The sequence below is a fragment of the Homo sapiens genome, chromosome 16 (assembly GCF_000001405.40).
Source record: "Homo sapiens chromosome 16, GRCh38.p14 Primary Assembly".
Taxonomy (NCBI): Eukaryota; Metazoa; Chordata; class Mammalia; order Primates; family Hominidae; genus Homo; species Homo sapiens.
In genome coordinates, this window is record NC_000016.10 from 69606466 (window position 1) to 69627413 (window position 20948).

A 20948-nucleotide genomic window follows, 5' to 3' on the forward strand; every position below is an offset into this window, starting at 1 on the left:
GGCAATTAATTTTAAATGTTTTTTTAAACTGTGCAGGCGAAACAGAACACTTCTGCAGTCCAAGTACTTACTATAGGAAGTACAAGACCTGTAGAAAGGAAAACTGTGGCTGGGTATGGTGGCTCACGGGTGTAATCCCAGCACTTTGGGAGGCCGAGGCAGGTGGGTCGCCTGATGCTAGGAGTTCAAAACCAGCCTGGCCAACATAATGAAACGTCATCTCCACTAAAAATACACAAAATTAGCTGGGCGTGGTGGTACGCCTGTAATTCCAGTTACTCAGGAGGCTGAGGCATGAGAATTGCTTGAACTGGGGAGGCAGAGGTTGCAGTGAGCTGAGATGGCGCCATTGCACTCCAGCTTGGGTGATAGAGGGAGACTGTCTCAGAACAACAACAACAACAAAAGGAAAGCTGTGTATTGTGAAGTGAAATCAGAGTCACCTTGAAATGGGCATGAGGTATTCATCAGATTGCCTTTGGAATAAAAGAAATAATGTCCGTGGAATATCTCAGTAACACCTCCTCATTGCTAACCCTTTTGAGGGCAGAAATTATAGTTTTTATTTATGTTAGTAGCTCCAATTAATATATTAATAATAGTTCTAGGTGTGTTCTACACATTATTGCTAGTGCTTACAACTCTACAAGGTAGATAGGTATTACCACTGTATTATAAATGAGACAGCCAAGGCTTGCTGTGATAAGTAACTTGTCCAAGGTCACACAAAAAATAAGTGATACATTTATGATGAAACCTCAGTTCTGACTACCTTTGTTCTTTCATTATGACATGCTGCCTACCTCTTATTTATTATAAACAATATTGGTATACTGACACAAGGATCAGATGCTTTGTATAATGGTTGTAGACTTTTCCAAGGAATCTTGTGACTTTCTTCTTTTTACTTTATCCCCCTTAATGCAAAAAAAGAGAGATTACAATAAATACTTGAAATGCGTCCTAATTATCTGTTACGTATAGTCATGATTGTGAGTTTCTGATCAAGCCAAATGAAAATTTATGTGCTTTTAACAATGATATTGACAACCTCTAATACTAGAACCTTTATCCCCTGAGTCTTAACCCCTTAATTCTTCCATATTTTGTAATTGGCCCTTTAAAGATAAATAGGTGTAGAAGGATTTCTTACATACCTCTTAAGCATCTGCTTCTAGAGCATAGCCACTGGCAAATGGAAACAACTGAATTCTCTTCTAGAGCACATTTGAATCCATCTCACTAAAGCTTCTCAACTTGTGACTTCTTCTGAAAAATTTATTTTGGTCTTCTCATTTTCTATTTTCTTTTTCTCTCATGTCAGTGGAAGAGATTCTCAATTTCTTTTCTAAGGTACTTTCAATTTCCTGACTTGATTCTGTGACATACTTTTTCTATTTTCCACTCTCTCTTTTCATTACTCCCTTTCATGTGTTTGTTTTCCTCACACCAGTAGTAGTCAAACTGCTGTTAACTATGATTTCTGAAAAGGTACTTCTGCATTTGATATAATTTCAAAAGGGCCATGGTGCTTAAAAAGAAATTAGAAAACTAAATGCTTATGGTAGTATAATCATGTAACAGTGTACTAGAAAAACTACTTTATTGGCCGGTCACGGTGGCTCACGCCTGTAATCCCAGCACTTTGGGAGGCCAAAGTGGGCAGATCACTTCAGGTCAGGAGTTCGAGACCAGGCTGGCCAAGATGGCAAAACCCCGGTCTCTACCAAAAATATAAAAAATTAGCCGGGTGTTGTGGCGTGCCTGTAATCTCAACTCCTCGAGAGAGGCTGAGGCAGGAGAATCCCTTGAGTAGTTCCCCACATGCATACATACAATGATCACTACTCAACTAGATACTCTAAGGAGATCCTCTATAGATCTCCAGCGTTCTCTCTGAGTGTGTCTCTCCTTTCCAGTACTCTGCATTGAGAACCCCGGCCATCTGGGCTTCCCCAGACTCCTAGCTCTACCACTTCAACTTAAGAAGCTTAAGAAGACTGCTGGGTGGCCAGGCGCGGTGGCTCACGCCTGTAATCCCAGCACTTTGGGAGGCCGAGGCGGGCGGATCACGAGGTCAGGAGATCGAGTCCATCCTGGCTAACACGGTGAAATCCTGTCTCTACTAAAAATAAGTATATTGAAAATTATCTACCACCATGTGAAATAGTAGTTGTCATTTTAGTCAGGCTGTGGTACAGTGCAATGGCACAATTTCTGCTCACTGCAAGCTCTGCCTCCTGGGTTCACGCCATTCTCCTGCCTCAGCCTCCCAAGTAGCTGGGACTACAGGTGCCTGCCACCACGCCCGGCTAATTTTTTGTTATGTAAATATAATTGTTTTTTCCTCTAGGTTGAAGAATTTAGGTAATCTGGCCAGGTGTGGTGGCTCACGCCTGTAATTCCAGCACTTTAGGAGGCCAAGGCGGGCGGATCACGAGGTCAGGAGATCGAGACCATCCTGGCTAACACGGTGAAAACCCGTCTGTACTAAAAATACAAAAAATTAGCCAGGCGTGGTGGCAGGCATCTGTAGTCGCAGCTACTCGGGAGGCTGAGGCAGGAGAATAGTGTGAACCCAGGAGGCAGAGCTTGCAGTGAGCTAAGATCATGCCACTGCACTCCAGCCTGGGCAACAGAGTGAGACTCCGCCTCAAAAAAAAAAAAAGTATTTAGGTAATCTGCAGAAGAAGGTGGTTCAGGTCTTTGGTTGCTGTTCTTTCCTAGACTCTTCAGAAAAAAATGAATTAACTAGCAATGCTTAAAGAGGTAGTAAATACAAGCCAATCCATTTTCATTCCAGCTGCATTTCATGCTTCAGAGTAATGGCTGTTAGCCAGAATCACTTGTGAAGCTTTATACACATATACATTCTGTGATCTTATTCCCTGTAAACCCCTATTCAGTAGTCGGTCTGTGATGAAATCCCAGGCATCTTCATTCAGGTTAAAAAAAATATACATATGTCTACATGAAATTCTGGTATTCCCTGTTGAAAACCAGTCTTAAGTTAGAGGCATTCTGCAGTTGTACGGAAAGTAAGGGAAACAAAGTTAAAATGGAAAAAATTGAATTAAGAGGCAGAAGTAATGAATTTGATCATTTGTTCATTGCCACTCATTGTAGACACTTATTTTTGATCTCTGTAAACATCAGCTTATATCTCAAAGTATGAGGTCTGAATACTTGCTTGTGGGTGATCATCTTTGTGTAGAATAGAAAAGACAAAGTAGGACCAGGTGCAGTAGCTCACACCTGTAATACCGGCACTTCGAGAGGCCAAGGTGGTAGAATTGCTTGAGCCCAGGAATTCAAGACCAGCCTGGACAACATGGTGAGACCCTGTCTCTACTGAAAAAAAAAAAAAAAAAAAAAAGAAAAAAGAAAATATTAGCTGGACATGGTGGCATGAGCCTGTAGGCCCAGCATACTTGGGACATTGAAGTGTGAGGATCACTTGAGCCTGGGAGGTTGAGGCTGCAATGAGCAATGATTGTGCCACCGCACTCCAATCTGGACAACAGAGTGAGACAAGAAGAGAGAGAGAGAGAGAGACAGATAGAGCGAGTGTCTTGTTGAGTTCTTCAGTGTTGGGTCAAAGAAGGGAAAAAAATTGTGCGTATAAATAGAAAAAAAGAAAACTAACTTTTTAAGGCTTTAAAAATAACTGAAAGTGAAGACCCTGAGATATGAAAAGTGATTTTTGTTAATCAGAAAATTGGTGATTTAGGTGATAATGGGGTGGAAGTTGGAAGATAGGACGTGAGGGGACAGGGTATTTGGATTAAATATAACATAGAAAGATAACATTTTTAGTTCAGGTAGTAGGATATTCTGGTAATGACAGAAAGGAAAACAAGATGGGTTTTTTTTGGTTTTTGTTTGTCTAATATTTTTGTTTTTCATCTCTAAGATTATGGTATAAAAACAGGAATTTATGTTTTAGAATTGTTTGGGTAGAATCACTTAAGGTAGATGATTTGCTTATTCATTCATTTGTTTATTTATTAAGCACATTATTGAAATGCCCATTATGTGCCAGGCATAATAATATAGTAAGTAAAATAGATGGCATTCCTAACCTCAGTGTTACTCTAATTGCATAGACAGGAATGCTGGGGAAAGAATTTATCTTTCAGCCAGCTATTCTCCTGCCTGGGACCCAGCTTTAGCTAGTCTTGGCTCTACAAAGGAAGTTGTAACCTAATTGGAACATAATTTCTTCTCCGTAAAAACTGAGGGTTACACCAAATACTTTCACCACTTCTACCTCTAAAATTCTTGCTTTTAATGTGAATTTTAGATTAATTTAGATTAGATTAATCCCTTAAAACTACATTCATTACATTCATACCATTCTTGCATGGCCCTCTATATATTTCTTCTCTCCTACTACCTTTTTTCCCTCATAGCTCTGGTGTCTTGATACAGTTTTGATTGGCTATTTATGTGCTTTCAGTCAACCTCACTGGACTGAAAGCTTTTTGGGAGCAGACTCGGGTTTCTGTGAACATGTGATTTACTGTGTGTGTACCTATGCACACGAAATGAACAAATGGTGACAAAATTAGTTTTTTCTTATTTTTGAAAATGCTGTTGATCTTGTGAATTTAATATTAGACTGTCTTTCAAGATCAACAACAAAATAATATATGTAAAATAATATAAATTGTAATTCTGCTTGTTTCTTTTCATTGATAGATTATTATGTATGTTTACAAGGACATGATTAGTTTAGAAAGGAATGATTATTAAATATATGGTTATATAATATGGTTAGCTGTTAATAGCCATGGAACAGATCTCTATTCAGTATTGGTTTTATAAGCACTCAGCAAAATTCTGTTTTAAGTATGTGTTCTAAATTTTAAAATGAATGTATGTTGACATTTTTCATTGCTTACATTCCAGAAATGAGCTTATTTTACTGGTAACAATTAAATGTGAGTTTAGTAAGGGTAGAAAATTGGAGGAAACTGGAGTCTCCTTTTCTCTTTAGCAGATGTCTTAGTCTGTTTGTCAGCTATAACAAAATGCCTTAGGCAAGGTAATTTATAAACAATAGAAATGTATTGCTGATAGTCTGCAGTATGGAGTCTGGGGAGTCCAGGATAAAGGCACCAACAGATTATATGTCTGCTGAGGGTTTGCTCTCTGCTTTGAAGATGATGCTTTCTTATTGTGTACCCATGTGGTGAAAGGGCCAAGGCAGTGTCCTTCAATCTCTTTTATAAGGGCACTCATTCCATTTTGGGAGGGCAGAGCCCTCATGACTTACTTCCTAAAAGGCCCCACCTCTTAACACTATTACATTGGATGTTAGGTTCCAACATGAATTTTGGCAGGACACTAACACTCAGACTATAGCACCAGACAAGCAAGCAGTCACTGTAATTTAAGCCCATTAGAATGGAAGGTCCATAAAGACATATTTTTGTCTGTTTTGTTGTTGATGTATCCCCAGCCTGGTGTACATCAGGCAGTCCATAAATATTTATTGAGTGAATGAGTACATGAATAAATGAATGAGAATATTTACTGAGCTGTCGTTCATTTTATAGCAGGTACAATGTTGTTTCTTCACCACTGATATATTCATTTATTACCTCTTATTTATTAGCAGTGTTTCTGAAATAATATTAAAATTAGAAGTTTTCTTGAAGCTTGTTTTACAACTTAGAATTATTATCCAGTAGCTTTCCTTAATATTTTTATAACCTCATCAACAAACAGTGAGTGTCTCTTGTAAGTAGCGTACTGCCGAACCTTAGTCAGAGAAGACATGACATAGTTTTGGTCCATGAAGGGTTTTCAACCCATTTGGAGAAGTAGGAAATAGATACAAAGATGATTTGTAACAACCTGAGGGGTGTCAAAAAGATGGTACATGTAGGAAATTAATGTTATATTCAAGTGAAAATTTGATATTGTTTATGTATATTATTCAACTTTTAAAAACTTTGCATTAAAGTATGGAAAGGAAGCATAAGTATACCATTGTTTTAATGGTTATCTTTGATGAGATCATGGGCAAGTTGAATTTTTATTTCTTACGTGTATTTTTAAAAGCAAGCAATAACTCTAAATAAATTAATCTAGGCCAGGTGCAGTGGTTCATGCCTATAATCCCAGCACTTTGGGAGATTGAGGCAGGAGGACCACTTGAGCCCAAGAATTGGAGACCAGACTGGACAACAAAAGGAGACCCTGTCTCTATAAAGCACATACACAGAGACACACACACACACACACCAAAAACCTAGCTAGGCATAGTGGCACACACCTGTGGTCCCAGCTACTCGGGAGGCTGAGGTAGGAGGATCAGTTTAGGCCCGGGAGCTTGAGGCTGCAGTGAGCTGTGATCGTGTCACTGGGTGACAGGGCGAAATCCTGTCTCAAAAAAAAAAAAGGCAAAACTGTAGTTCTAGGACAGATTTGATATAAAAAACAAAAGTAAAGCAGGCTATTTGTTTAGTAACATCAATTGCTAGACCTCTCTCCTGTTTATGTATTCACTTGGAAGTCCCATAGGCATCCAAATTCATCATTTAAAACTGAATTCTCTTTCCAGGTTTATTCTTAACTCCTATATTCTCTATCACAGGAAATGGCACCACTTTTTATCAATTTTCCCAAGCCAGAGTTCTATGTGCTACTTGGAACTCTCCTTTTTTTCCCTCTCCCTTCCCCACCGTAGCCAGTGATCCAATTTAGTTCATCCATTTAAACAGCTTTAAATTCGTAGCCTATTGACTATTTCACTGCCACTGCCTTGGTTCAGGATTTCATTATTTCTTGCTTAGGCTATTATTGTAAAAACCTTCTTACTCATCGCCATCTCTAGGACCTAATCTATTCTCTGTATTCCTGGTAGGATGATCTTCCTCAAATATATGTTTGAGTTTATCATTTCTTTGCTTAAAACCCTCAAAGGCTCCCTGTGTGCTGAGGGATAAAACCCTTACTGCTTAGCATGATACACAAGCCCTGTCATAATCTGGCCTCACCCTGCCTTTAGTAGTTTCATCTCATGTTACTGCTTGTAACTTCCGTGTTCTGAGTAACTGAGTTACCTAATAACCTGAGATGAAAATACTCTTTTTGTTCAGGTTTGCTTTTATAGTTTCTCCTTCCTTTTCCCCAGTCTGTCTGCTAAATAGCCATTTCAATATTCAAGGTTGACTTCTGGTGTTACATCCTCTGTGCTGCCTTCTCAGATCCTCCACAGATAACATTAAAGGTTCCCTCTTCTCCAGTTGTGTAACACTTCATACTTTATTAAAGCACATACTGCATTATTTTAAACTTGACTCATTTTATTATCTCTAGACTGTGAACTGCTTAATAAGGGTGACTTTCTTTTGTATTGTGTCCCTAGATCAGTGCAGGTGCTAAATAAATGTTGAATGAATGTTTAATTACTGCTTTGTCAGGTTGAAGGTGATAGTGAAGAGGAGCTGGCATAGACAAAAATACTTAGCCCCTGTGACTGTGGCAAATAAGATGTCAAACAAGTAATTATATGACCAAGAGAAGACTCATGGTATGTGTTGTAACCAAGATTCTGTTGCCTTTTTCAACTAAAATATTTGGTTTTGTTTGATTTTAAACAGAAAGTGTAGCAAAAGTGAGAGGGAGAACAAGGTAGATTGGTCTTTTCTCTCTTTTCTTTCTTTTCTTCTCTTTCTCTCTTTTTTTTTTTTCTTTTGAGACAAGGTCTTGCTCTGTCACCTAGCCTAGGATGTAGTGGCACAATCACAGCTCACTACAGCCTTGACATCCTGGGATCAAGCAGTCCTTCAGCTCTGCCTCCCAAAATGCTGCGATTACAGGCACGAGCCACCACGCTCGGCCCTAGATTGGTTTTTGATTGCCAGATACCTAAAAATGAAGACATGAAATAAGTTTGTTTACTCTGATAGATTCATTTCTTTGCAAATTGAGATCTTATAATATGAAGCTACAGTTACATAGCTGAATTTTTTGAATCCGTAGTAATTAATAAATTCCTAATGAAATGTATGCCTGAATGCACTTTTTGGAACAATCTTGAACCTACAAAAGAGTTGTGAATATAGTGCAAATAATTTATTGCTTTTTTTCTGAATCATTTGAGAATAAGTTGCTGACATGTTTCCTCATTGCCTCCCAATACTTTGGTATTTCCAACAAATAAGAATATTCCCTTATGTAACCACAATATAGCTATCAAAATAAAAATTAACATCAATACATTTTTTTCACCTTGTCCTTAGATCCTATTTGGGTTTTGCAAATTGTCCCAGTAATTTCCTGTATAGCAAAAGGATCCAGTTTAGAATTATATGTCCATTTAGTTGTCATATCTCTTTAGTTTCTTTGAATCTGAAATCATTCCTTGGTGTTTCCTGGACTTTTATGGTTTTCTTTTTCCTTTTTTTTTTTTTTTTGAGACAGAATCTTGCTCTGTTACCCAGGCTGGAGTACAGTGGTACGATCTTGGCTCACTGCAGCCTCCTCCTCCTGGGTTCAAGCAATTCTTGTGCCTCAGCCTCCTGAGCAGCTAGGGCTATAGGCACCCACCACCACTCCCAGCTAAATTTTTTTTTTTTTTTTTGAGATGGAGTCTCACTGTTGCTCAGGCTGGAGTGCAGTGGCGCGACCTCGGCTCACTGCAACCTCCTCCTCCTGGGTTCAAGAGATTCTTCTGCCTCAGCCTCCCAAGTAGCTGGGATTACAGGCACGTGCCACCATGCCTGGCTAATTTTTGTATTTTACTAGAGACGACGTTTTGCCATGTTGGCCAGGCTGCTCTCGAACTTGTGACCTCAGGTGATCTGCCTGCCTTGGCCTTCCAAAGTGCTGGAATTACAGGCATGAGCCACCGCACCCAACCCATGCTGTCTTTTGTGTCCTTTTGATATGCCCCCGTAATTCTTTGAGTACTTTCTTACCTTTAGCAAAACAAGACATTCCAGGTTCATCTTGTATTTTGCCTGTCCCAGCCCTGATACTATTTCTCTGAAAAGCCCTGGTTACTTTTGGGGTGCTGCTTCTCCTAGGACCTTTCAGAGGACAGAAGCTAGGGAATATATGTATATTTATATGTCTGTACACACACACACAGGTATATATACACATTTATACCTATATTTTTCTATCTGTACATATTGACTGATGAGTTCACATCAGTACCTCCCGTTGCAATGCAATACCGTAGGGTTCCTTCTTCTTTTCTCTCTCTGTTTGTAACTCACTGTTTGACAAACTTGATTTCCTTTCATCTTATTGAGAAACTTGATTTCCTTTCATCTTACTATGTTTACTTATTTGATCAATCTCCTGTTGTAACCAATCTCCCATTGCTACTGCCTCCTGCTTTCTGACACATTAATACCCTAATTACCCAACTTGGCCTCTCATAGCTTGCCTCCTACATGGATGCTCTTGACACCTGGGGCTGTCCTCCTGCTCTCCTGTGAATACCCTCCAGTCTACTTGGTTTCTTACTCCCCACTTTGGGCAGCCCTACTAGGTAGATAGCCTCCTATCTTGCTCATCCTGCTAGGATTTTGAATCCTACCTAAAACTGCCCTTTGCTTCTGCTCCCTCAACCCCGATAGATGTCTTCCCTACCCCATTTGAACTCCAACACCCCATGCCAGGCTGCCTATCTACGGAAATGCCCTCTTTAGTCAGTCTTCTACTTTCCCACCGTAGGCAACCCTTCTACACAGATGCCCTCCTTATTCAGCTCAGGCTCCAAGGCCTCACATGCCCTCCTCACCCTGCTTGGATTGTAACTCCCCGTGCTGGGCTCCCCCTCTCTTGCCCAGTGAACACACTATTTATACCTGCCGGGTAACCTCTGATAACCAACCTTAGGCAATCCTTCTATGTGGACATCCTCATTACTACTTAGGTTATGATACCCTCTGTTGGTTGCCCCTTGCATGGATACCCTCCTCACCCTTCTCTGGCTCTGGCATTTTATCCTGGGCTCTCCCTGCTCACTCCACAGAGATCCTTCTCATTCTATTCATGCTTTTACTCCTTGGGCTAGGCTGTCCATCCATATGGAGATTTGCGTTCTGTTTGGGTTCCCACCTCCCACCCTAGGCAGACCCCCTGTGCATCAGCCTTCTTTCTTGCGTGGATGCTGTCCTCATCCCACCTCTTGGGCACTAACATCCCAACCTGAGCCATCCTCCCCTGCACAGATATTCATATATTCTTCACCCTGCTTAGGCTCTGACACCACACACTAGGCTGTCCTATATAGATACTTTCTTCATGTTGCTCAGACTCTGCATCTAGAATATCTCTTGCCCCTCTCATCCACTCATTTATGTCCTCCTCACCCTGCTTAAGCTCTGAAATCCCTTCCCAGGCCTCCCCCTATTCTCTATAGGTATCCTTCCCCCTCCCCTCTAGGCTTCTGATACCCTCCTTTGAGCCCTCTTATTCCTCTTGGACTCCATCTGAGTCCAAAGTTCTTTTTTTTTTTTTTTTTTCTTTGAGATGGAGTCTGGCTCTGTCACCCAGGCTGGAGTAAGTGGCGCGATCTCGGCTCACTGCAAGCTCCGCCTCCCGGGTTCACGCCATTCTCCTGCCTCAGCCTCCCGAGTAGCTGGGACAACAGGCGCCCACCATCACGCCCGGCTAATTTTTCTATTTTTAGTAGAGATGGAGTTTCACCGTGTTAGCCAGGATGGTCTCGATCTCCTGACCTTGTGATCCGCCCGCCTCGGCCTCCCAAAGTGCTGGGATTACAGGCGTGAGCCACCGTGCCCAGCCTCAAAGTTCTTAAAGCTCTATTGAAAAGGTACTCTTGTAAGATATCTAAAAATTATAAATAAACCATAAATGTTTTACTCAGTGGTGTATGGATTCTTGATAACTAGAGAGTTTTGTTCCTTCTAGGATAGACTCAAGAAATTTCTTCAGAAAATAACAAAGAAATTTAAAATATAATCAGAATAGTTAGGTGACTGGTATATTCCATTCTGTCTTTCATGCTAAGAGGTTATTTAGAGAACAATTTTCTTTTCTTTTTTTTTTTTTGAGACAGGGCCTTGCTCTGTCACCCAGGCTGGAACGCAGTGGCACAATCATGGCTCACTGCAGCCTTGACCTCCTGGGCTCAAGCAGTCCTCCTACCTCAGCCTCCCGAGTAGCTGGAACTACAGGCTTGCACCACCTCACCTGGCTAATTTTTGTATTTTTTTGTAAAGACAGGGTCTTGCTGTGTTGCCTAGGCTGGTCTCAAAACTCCTGGGCTAAAGTGATCCTCCCAACTTGGCCTCCCAAATGCCTGGATTACAGGCATGAGCCACTTTGCCTGGCTGAACATAATTTTAAAGTTTTTGAGTGAAAAATAATACCTAGTAGAAAAAAGATATGTTATACTATATTAAATTGTCTGTGGAAGGCCGGGCACGGTGGCTCATGCCTATAATCCCAGCACTTTGGGAGGCCAAGGTGGGCGGATCACCTGAGGTCGGGAGTTCGAGACCACCCTGACCAACACATGGAGAAAACCTGTCTCTACTAAAAATACAAAATTAGCTGGGCGTGGTGGCGAATGCCTGTAATCCCAGCTATTTGGGAGGCTGAGGCAAGAGAATTGCTTGGACCGGGGAGGTGGAGGTTGCGGTGAGCTGAGATCGTGCCATTGCACTCCAGCCTGGGCAACAACAGCGAAACTCCATCTCAAAAAAAAAAAAAAAAACTCTGTAGAACTCAAGTTAGTTTTCTTCTTCCCCAAATTGATATAATTTATACTGCTGTATATTATTTAAAATTACTTTAAAACACTAGATTGTTTTAGGAAAACAGTAATTAAATACAGCCTGGCAGAAGTGCTATGAATAAGTAAATATGTGGCAGCAGACTAGTAAATTGGCTTAAACTTAGAAATTGAGAAAAATTTGTTAAGACAGAGCATTACCTACCAGTTATTCTTGGACTGCATACTCTTTTAGAAACTGAATATCCAGTGGACCTGCAGCCAGTACATTTTTTCCAGTAGAGATGCCAAGTATGATGACTGTCAAGCTTGAAGTGTTTTTAACAAAATGAATGCTGTCTCTCTTCAATGCAGAACGATGTTGGCACATTGTAGATGCCAGGCATTTTGTTTTAGAATATTTAATGTGAAATTATAACCTTGGAATTTACCAGCTGATTGAGATAGTTAATGGAGAGGTGGAAGAGTAAGGCATTTCATTCCCAAACCATTTTCTGAAGGTTTTTTCTAACTCTTTCAGATTCCAAGAGTAGCTTCACATTTAGAGGTTTTTTTTAAAGTAAAATCTAATATTTAAAAAAAGATTAAAATGTTTAGAAATGGATTTTTCAGGATTATAATGTTTGCATTTCATATCAGAGAGCATTCATTGTTTGAGTAACTAATATCTGTTGTGAGCATTAGTTTACTTCTTGTTAGATTTTTAAAGCATTCCCAACACAAAGGAACATTCTTTTTTACCACAGATATTTATTTCTCTTTAGCTGCTTACTTGACAACGAAACAGAAACATCTTATTTACGGAGCTTTTTTCCCCGTTTTTATTATCCACCTCTGTATAGATGCAAGTCCATAGTATTAGTTGTACAACTTTATTTTACTATTTGAAAGTAAATAAGACAGTCTTGAGAAAAGTCATAAAGTAGATGGGCTCTCTCTGACTATTTTGATTTTTACTCTCTGACCCGAAAGCAGTTGAACACCAAATGCCAGCTCTTAGGTCAACAAGGGTGAGGTAGGGAGGTAGGGATGAAAATTCTAAGAAAGAATAAGAACTTAGACTTCTTTTCAAGAGATCAACTTATTTAAGCCTTGTAGCATCTCTGTGAGGCTGTGCTCTATCCGTGTATAGCCCTAATTTTGTTGTATATATTTTATTTGATTATATACTTCAGTAAAAAGAACACCTGTGAACCCATTGTGTAGCTCAGCTTATTTCTACTCCTCCTGTCTCCCATCAAAGGAAGCCGCTGTCCTAAACTTTATCATCTTTCTCTTATCACATGTGTTTTTCTTTTTTTACTATAATACAGATATCACATTCTTTATTGATAAAACCTACCTCATAGGATTGATTGTTTTGAGGTTAAATGAGAAAAATACATATACTGAGCCTGGCCCTGCAAAGTGCTCAAAAAATAGTAGCTGTAATTATGTTATTAATGTTGTTATTTTGCTGAGTGAGTACAGCATGAAAAGCATGTCTTTTCCCAGCTGTTTCCTGTGGCTTATCTCCCTGCACTCTTGAGGTCTTTTCATCTCTTCCTGGAATGACCAGTAACAGTAAAGCAGTAGAGAAGGGGATTTGGGTGATCAGCTCTTTGGACATAGAGTGCCCAACTGAGAAGAAACAAACAAATAAAAAATTAAGTTGCCCTATTAAATTACCAATTTTTTTCTTCTCTCTCACTGTCCTGTGCCTCAGAATAGGATTTCTGCCTACTTTAAATTTGACCCACTGTAGTGAAATTCTTCCACCCTCTTGTAGACAGTGTTGAATAATAAAGGATTGAATTAACCCAGAAATAATCAGTGACATAAATGGATCTATTATAGTTTACAGAATGACTAAACAAGCCAACCAGTCAGTGCATTTTTACATTGTTTTCCTTTCCACCCAACATTGGGAAGCATTAATTTATTTTCAATATCTGAAAATGTTGATTTCATTCTTCTATTTCCTTTTTCCAGTTGCCCTGGGCTCTATGAGAATGCACCAGCATGGGACAGATTCTTGATCTTCTGAACTTGCTTCCCTTTCTGCCTATCTACTTTTCTTATACACATATTAATAATTTATGTTAATGGAGTTATTATATCGCACTTGCCCTAATTCTACTACATGGATACTTAAGCAGTGCACTTACCGTGGCATTTTGGTCAACTAAAATTTTTAATGAAATTTAGGTGAGTTGATTACACATTATCGCACAAATTATTAGCAGCATTAATAGAAAAAATATATCAGAAAATAATCAGGTCAGGCATGGTGGCTCACGCCTGTAATTCTAGCACTTTGGAAGGCCAAGGCAGGAGGCTTGCTTGAGCCCAGGAGTTCAGGACCAGCCTGGCCAACATAGCAAGACCGCGTCTCTACAAAAAAATTGAAAAGGTAACTGAGCATGTCTGAGAAAAAATAAATAAAAAGAAAATAATCACCCTAGTCTTGGCCGACTGAAGAAAGAGTTCCTTAGAACACAAAAGTAAAATCACTTCTAGATTAAAAAAGAGAGAGAGAGAGAAATAGAGTGAGTACATGTAAGTTTATTGCACAAGAGCAGATTTTACCAGCTCTTACATTAATCCTTGTTAAGTTTCATCTCCTTCCTTTGGGCAGATATTCCAGTCTTTCATGATCTGTGATGAATTATGACATAAGATTTAATCCCTTTTAAGCCTATGTCATTTGAAAAGTCATATCTTTGTTCAAGTTGTGATATAACCACCTTCTTCCAGATTGAACCTATACATTTTTTGGGTACTGTTGTTTAGAAGTCATCTATTTTATTAAGTCTATATTTCTTCTTCTTGTTTACAATAACTTATAAAGATTTTTATCACATATTTTACTGAATTTAGGATAACTGCCTGCAGCATTTTCCTGATCCTCTAGTAGAAGAGCCTTAAAAGACAAATTAGTTTGCAGCTTGGCCTTCTTTATATATAGAAGCTATGTGAAGAGAGATGGTTTTGTCCATGAAGTTTATTAGAGCACTGTTAGATACCCTGCTTGTTCTTGTCTAATTCTTTCTTGTGCTTCTTCTATTACTCTCTTCCTTTAAAAAAAAAAAAACAGCTTTATTGATATATAATTTACATACTATAAAGGTTACCCATTTAGAGGGTACAATTCAGTGGTTATTAATGTAAATACAGAGTTGTGTAACCATTGCCATTTTTATCACTCCAAAAAGAAACCTTATCTAATACCCATATCCCTTCTCTCTCACTTTCTCTCACTCTCTTTTCTCTCTCATCTAAGTGATTTTGCTTTTGTTTTCTAAGGAAGTCTTTCCTCAGAAGCTGCCTTTCCATTAGGGATTTCCCATTCTGTTTCTTCGTATCTTGTGTTTATAAACCTGGAATTTCATTATTCTCTTATATTTCTGAACTGATTTAAAAGATAACATAAGAAAAATAGATACTGTGGCATAACATGAAGTAGCCGGCACTTATTTAGGACTGTCATTTTCATAGATTTAAAGTACATATGGGCCAGGTGCAGCTCATGTCTGTAATCCAGGCACTTTGGGAGGCTGAGACAGGAGGATCACTTGAGTCCAAGAGTCTGAGACCAGCCTGGGCAACAGAGGGAGACTCTGTCTCTACAAAAAGTTTTTTTAAAAAAATTAGCCAGTGTACATTTGTGGTCCCAGCCACTCGGGAGGCTGCAGCAGGAGGATCTCTTGAGCTCAGGAGTTGGAGGCTGCAGTGAACTTTGATTGTGTCTGTATACTCCAACCTGGATGACACAGTGAGACCCTGACTCAAATAAAATAAAATAAAATAAAATAAATAAAGTGCATATGCTCTTATTCAGGATTTCTTTCATTGGCTAGTGGAGACTGTAAAAGCATTTAATTTAGATTGAATTTAGGGTTGAATAGCAGTATTAATAGCATAATTTATATTCCTTTAATCTTTCGGTATCCCATGGGAAGCAGATTTAGGAGAAAGGCCAGTGGCTGTGTTCAGATTGTATGGTTATAGTTTAGAGGGAATATCTTTGGGGTACTGGGGTAAAAGAAGAGTTTAAATGATGATTTAAGTCTTAGAGAAGTTATTTAAAGTAGCAGAACCAAACCAGTTATGTCTGAAATAAAATCCTGTGCTGGTAATGACTATATGAACTGTAGCTTCCCTTGGATAGGCATGATAAACTTCTGGCAGGCTGACTTCTTTTATTTCCAAACACTTGAGTCAGTTAATCAGAAAACATCTTTGGTGAAGGAATCCATGCTTCCTATACCTTCCACTTGACCTTGCATTTTACTTGTTTGTTTTGAGGGGCAGACTTTGGAGAGGGGTGGAATATAACAAGTTCTGCATTTAATTTCTTTCCATGTACTTTTTAGTAACATTACTATCATACCTCTAGTGGAGAGGTATGATACCTCAACTTTATACCCTTCTTTGGGAAAGTTAGAGTGTTTCAGTCCACAAAGTTTTGCTTTGATTTGATTAATTTATTTTAATAATTGGAGAAATGGAGATAAAATCCTGATTAGTAACATGCTATTAGTGATTGGGCTATTACTAGGATAAATTTTTTTCCATCACATAAATCATAAATGCATTTGGGTAGATCTTTTTCTCTTTTTATCGAATCTGTTTCTTTCAAATTTCCTTTTTGTTTGGGAAAAAAAAAAAAAAGAAAAAAATAGACTCGAGGCTGGGTGTGGTGGCTCACGCCTGTAATCCCAGCACTTTGGGAGGCCGAGGTGGGTGGATCACCTGAGGCTGGGAGTTCAAGACCAGCCTGACCAACATGGAGAAACCCCGTCTCTATTAAGAATACAAAATTAGCCAGGCATAGTGGTGTATGCCTATAATCTCAGCAACTTGGGAGGCTGAGGCAGGAGAATCACTTGGACCTGTGAGGCGGAGGTTGTGGTGAGCCAAGATTGCACCATTGCACTCCAGCCTGGGCAACAAGAGAGAAACTACATCTCAAAGAAAAAAAATGGACTTGAGTGTGTTTCTCTCTTATGTCTAAGGAACTCTTATTTTCAACCTGGAATGAGAAAGATAATTGTATTACAATGAATATTTGGTGATAATGGCATTTCTGTTTTAATTAGGTTCTCCCTATCTCTACTCCCTCCATATTGTTTGAAAGATGGAAGTAATTTGCTAAAGGCTTTTTTTTTTTTTTTAACAGTCTTGCTTTGTTGGCCAGGCTGAAGTGCAGTGGCACGATCTCGACTCACTGCAACCTCCGTCTCCTGGGTTCAAGCAGTTTTCCTGCCTCAGCCTTCCAAGTAGCTGGGATTACAGGTGTGTGTCACCACACCCAGCTAATTATTATTATTATTATTGTTATTTTTTTTTGAGATGGAGTTTCACTCTTATTGCCCAGGCTGGAGTGCAATGGTGTGATCTTGGCTCACTGCAGCCTCCGCCTCCCAGGTTTAAGCGGTTCTCCTGCCTCAGCCTCCCAAGTAGCTGTGATTACAGGCATGCACCACCATGTCCGGCTAATTTTGTATTTTTAGTAGAGACAGGGTTTCTCCATGTTGGTCAGGCTGGTCTCGAACTCCCTACCTCAGGTAATCTGCCTGCCTCGGCCTCCCAAGGTGCTGGGATTACAGGCATGAGCCACCACACCTGGCCTCAAGTCTTTTTTTTTCTTTTTTTTGCCCAAACAAAAAGGAAATTTGAAAAAAAAAAAAAAAAGAAACAGATTCAATAAAAAGAGAAGAAGATCTACCGAAATGCATTTATGATTTATGTGATGGAAAAAAACAGGGTCTCACCATGTTGGCCAGGCTAGTCTCGAACTCTTGACCTCAGGTGATCCACCCGCCTCGGCTTCCCAAAGTGCTGGGATTACAGGCATGAACCACCGTGACCGGCCGTCTACTTAAGGCTTTTAACAACATTTTAACAAACTGAAAATTTTTAGTCAGGGCATATTATATTCTGACAGATGCTGAATTTGCCACATGATTTGAAGATGAACATTTCAAGCATTAGGTAACAACATTTTTCCTTCTTTCTTTTATTTCTTTCATTCTTTTTTTGTTTTTGAGATGGAGTTTCACTATTATTGCCCAGGCTGGAGTGCAATGGCGTGATCTCGGCTCACTGCAACCTCCGCCTCCTAGGCTGAAGTGATTCTCCTGCCTCGGCCTCCCGAGTAGCTGGGATTACAGGTGACCACCACCACGCCTGGCTAACTTTTTGTATTTTTAGTAGAGACAGGGTTTCACCATTTTGGCCAGGCTGGTCTCGAACTCCTGACCTCAAGTGATCCTCCCGCCTCGGCCTCCCAGTGTTGGGATTACAGGTGTGAGCCACCGCGCCTGGCCCAGGTAACAGCATTTTTCAAAAGAAACTTTTAAGTTTATTCTTTACTGTGAATGAAGATCGTTTAAGAGTACAACTTCTAATTTTAGCTTTCTTTCATGACCTTCCTCCTTATCCCTATCCACATCAAAGTTAGGATATATACTTTAGTGATTAACTAGGAAGCTCAAAGTATTTATGAATCCAGTAAGCAGTTAACTAGAAATATTGTCTCTTACCATGGATAAAATGTCTTATGGTGCTACCTTTGTATTTTAAAGTACTCAGGCAGATAATTAATAATCTTCTTCAATTTTTGGAATTTTGGATTTCTTGGCATACTAGGCAAGTCCCTTAAATTTCATGCCTCAGTTATTTTGAAAATAAGTATACGCGATATGCCTCTAATTGTTCTTTTTTTTAAAAAAAAAAAAAAAGAAGGAGTTTCGCTCTTGTTGCCCAGGCTGGAGTGCAATGGCGCGATCTTGGCTCACTGCAGCCTCCATCTCCTGGGTTCAAGTGATTCTCCTGCTTCAGCCTTCTGAGTAGCTGGGATTACAGGTGCCCGTCACCATGCCCAGCTAATTTTTTGTATTTTTTAGTAGAGATGGGGTTTCACTATGTTGGCCAGGCTGGTCTCGAACTCCTGACTTCAGGTGATCCACCCCCTTCAGTCTCCCGGAGTGCTGGAATTTACAGGCATGACCATTGTGCCTAGCTCTAATTGGTTTTTTGAAGTTCCTTCTAACATGGATTCTACTACCTTTAGAGGATATTTTGGGAATTATTTCTGTTAAAAACCTATACAATAAAGGATATTTTAAAAAGTTAAAATATATTTTAATATATATAATTTTATGGGCAATTATAGTATTACAAAATATTTTTAAAAGATACAGGGTTCTTTAATTTGGAATACAAAAGTAATCGTAATCTAATATAGGTATTTATGCATTATGCAGTCTGATTTAAGAGTTTCCTTTACCTTTGCCTTTCCAGGGTTGGAGATGCCTCAGAGAGTAAGAAGTATTTGCTTGAGCCATAACATTCCTTTTTTTTTTTTAAGCTTCAATCCACAAAGTTTTTCTTTGATTAGATTGATTTATTTTAATAATTGGGAAAAATGAATTATGATAGTGTTGAATTAAAATATTTTCTCAAGGGTGTTGGGTAAAAGAGCAGGACTATACTAATTGACTGGAGAAGCCAATTTAAAGCTGATCCACAGTAGTATATGCCATTTCATATGTAAAGGGTAAGTTTTACTTATACTATTGCAAAGGAAGATACTGGACCATCTTGGGTTATTTGGCATTTCTTCCATTCTGTCTAGTTTTATCCAATTTTCAATGTTAATAACTTTTTCTAGAGACTATCTTGAACATAAGGAATAAAGCCAAGAAGAAAACAGGGACAGAACTAATGGGAAATTCATTTTTCAGTTCAATAAGATTATATAATAAAATAAAAAATAAAAAAATTTTTTTTTTTTTTTTGAAACAGGGTCTCACCCAGGCTGGAGTGCAGTGGCATGATCATGGCTCACTGTAGCCTTGACCTCAAGCAGTTTACCCACCTGAGCCTCCCAAATAGTTGGGACTGTAGGTGTGCATCACCACGCCTGGCTGATTAAAAAAAAAAAAAAAACCTTTTGTAGAGATGGGGGTCACTGTGTTGCCCAAACTCGTCTTTAATTCCTGGCCTCAAGCAATCCTCTCACCTTGGCTTCCCAAAGTCATGGATTACAGGTGTGAGCCACTGTGCTCAGCTGCTAATAGCTCTTTACATTAATTTTGTGGGATTGTTTGTGAATAATACAGTTCTCCTCATGAGAGAAAAGACATACTCATTTTGTGCATATTAGATTGTTGACTGAATCTCTTTTAAAAATTGTTTTCTCCTCTCTTTCCCCTCCCCACAGAATCTGTCTATGATCTTCTCCCAAAGGAGTTACAGTTACCTCCATCTAGAGAAACATCTGTAGCATCAATGAGTCAGACAAGCGGTGGTGAGGCAGGCTCGCCTCCTCCAGCTGTTGTTGCTGCTGGTATGCATTTCATTTTACTTTATTAAAGAAAACTAGGGCCAATATAAATCTGGCCAACATGAACAGTGCTGGCAAAATTCATACTAAAAAGAGTGTGATTTGAGGGTTTTAAAAAGAGGCATTAAAATATGTACTTTTAACCTTAAACTTTTTCAATATTATTTTCTTAATGTAATTCTTATTTCTTAAAATTTTACATTGTCTCATCTATAAATGCCATTTCCTAAAATGGACCTTGTCTTCAAATATGGGAACCAGCTTAAAGTTGTTTGGTTGACTGTGCTTAAAAAGGTTAAATACCAAGCTGTGAATAGAAAATTATATTTGAGTTTCTGTTTAATAATTAATTTTAAAGACTTGCACCAAGGGAAAATATTTTATATGATCTGAAAAATGACTGAAGCACTCAAGTGTCTTTTATATTCATAGCATGTTACTGAAACCTTTTTATTATATTTAAAAATATATGTGACTTCGTAGTTTTCAATTTATTGAAAGTAATGGAGGACGTCAATATAATATTTATATAAAGACATTTTCTTATATTGATGAAAAGGTATAGAAAGTAATGTTTGAAATTTATTAGACTTATTTTTACTCAGCTCTCAAATCATACACTTAATGATATACAATTGGCTCAAATTTTTATTTTACATAAAAATAAAAGATAGACAAGCTAATAGAAAAAAGTGTTATCAGTGACAAATTAGTATCAGTCCTTCCTGTAATGTTAGTTTACCCACCTAATATTGGATTTATAGACTGCTAAGTGTGTTTGTTTTAAAAAAAGGAAACATATATATATATATATATATATATATATATATATATATATATATATATATATATATATATTTTGAAGTTTTATCTGTCCTAATTAGAGGT

General features: G+C 38.7%; 1 protein-coding gene across 12 annotated transcripts in view, besides 1 other annotated feature; it reads left to right on the forward strand.

The window, feature by feature from the left end:
- The window catches only part of NFAT5 (nuclear factor of activated T cells 5), a 138689-nt gene that overhangs the window by 40500 nt on the left and 77241 nt on the right, over window positions 1-20948 (forward strand). For 9 of the 12 annotated variants that reach the window (XR_007064848.1, NM_138714.4, NM_138713.4 and 6 more), the window contains one exon: window positions 19938-20063. Coding sequence is in view for 4 of the 12 variants with exons in the window: in NM_138713.4 (NP_619727.2) it covers window positions 19938-20063 (126 nt within the window). In the remaining 8 variants the exon portion in view is untranslated. Of the gene's footprint in view, window positions 1-19937; window positions 20064-20948 lie in introns of those variants that run through there. The other 3 variants (XM_047433511.1, XM_011522820.4, XM_011522822.4) reach the window with 2 other exon arrangements.
- Window positions 6978-7137: an enhancer, noted in NCBI's record as "active region_11043". NCBI's record gives its function as "activates an Ori minimal core promoter by ATAC-STARR-seq in GM12878 lymphoblastoid cells {active_cell/tissue: GM12878}" and the evidence as "EXISTENCE:reporter gene assay evidence [ECO:0000049][PMID:35858748]".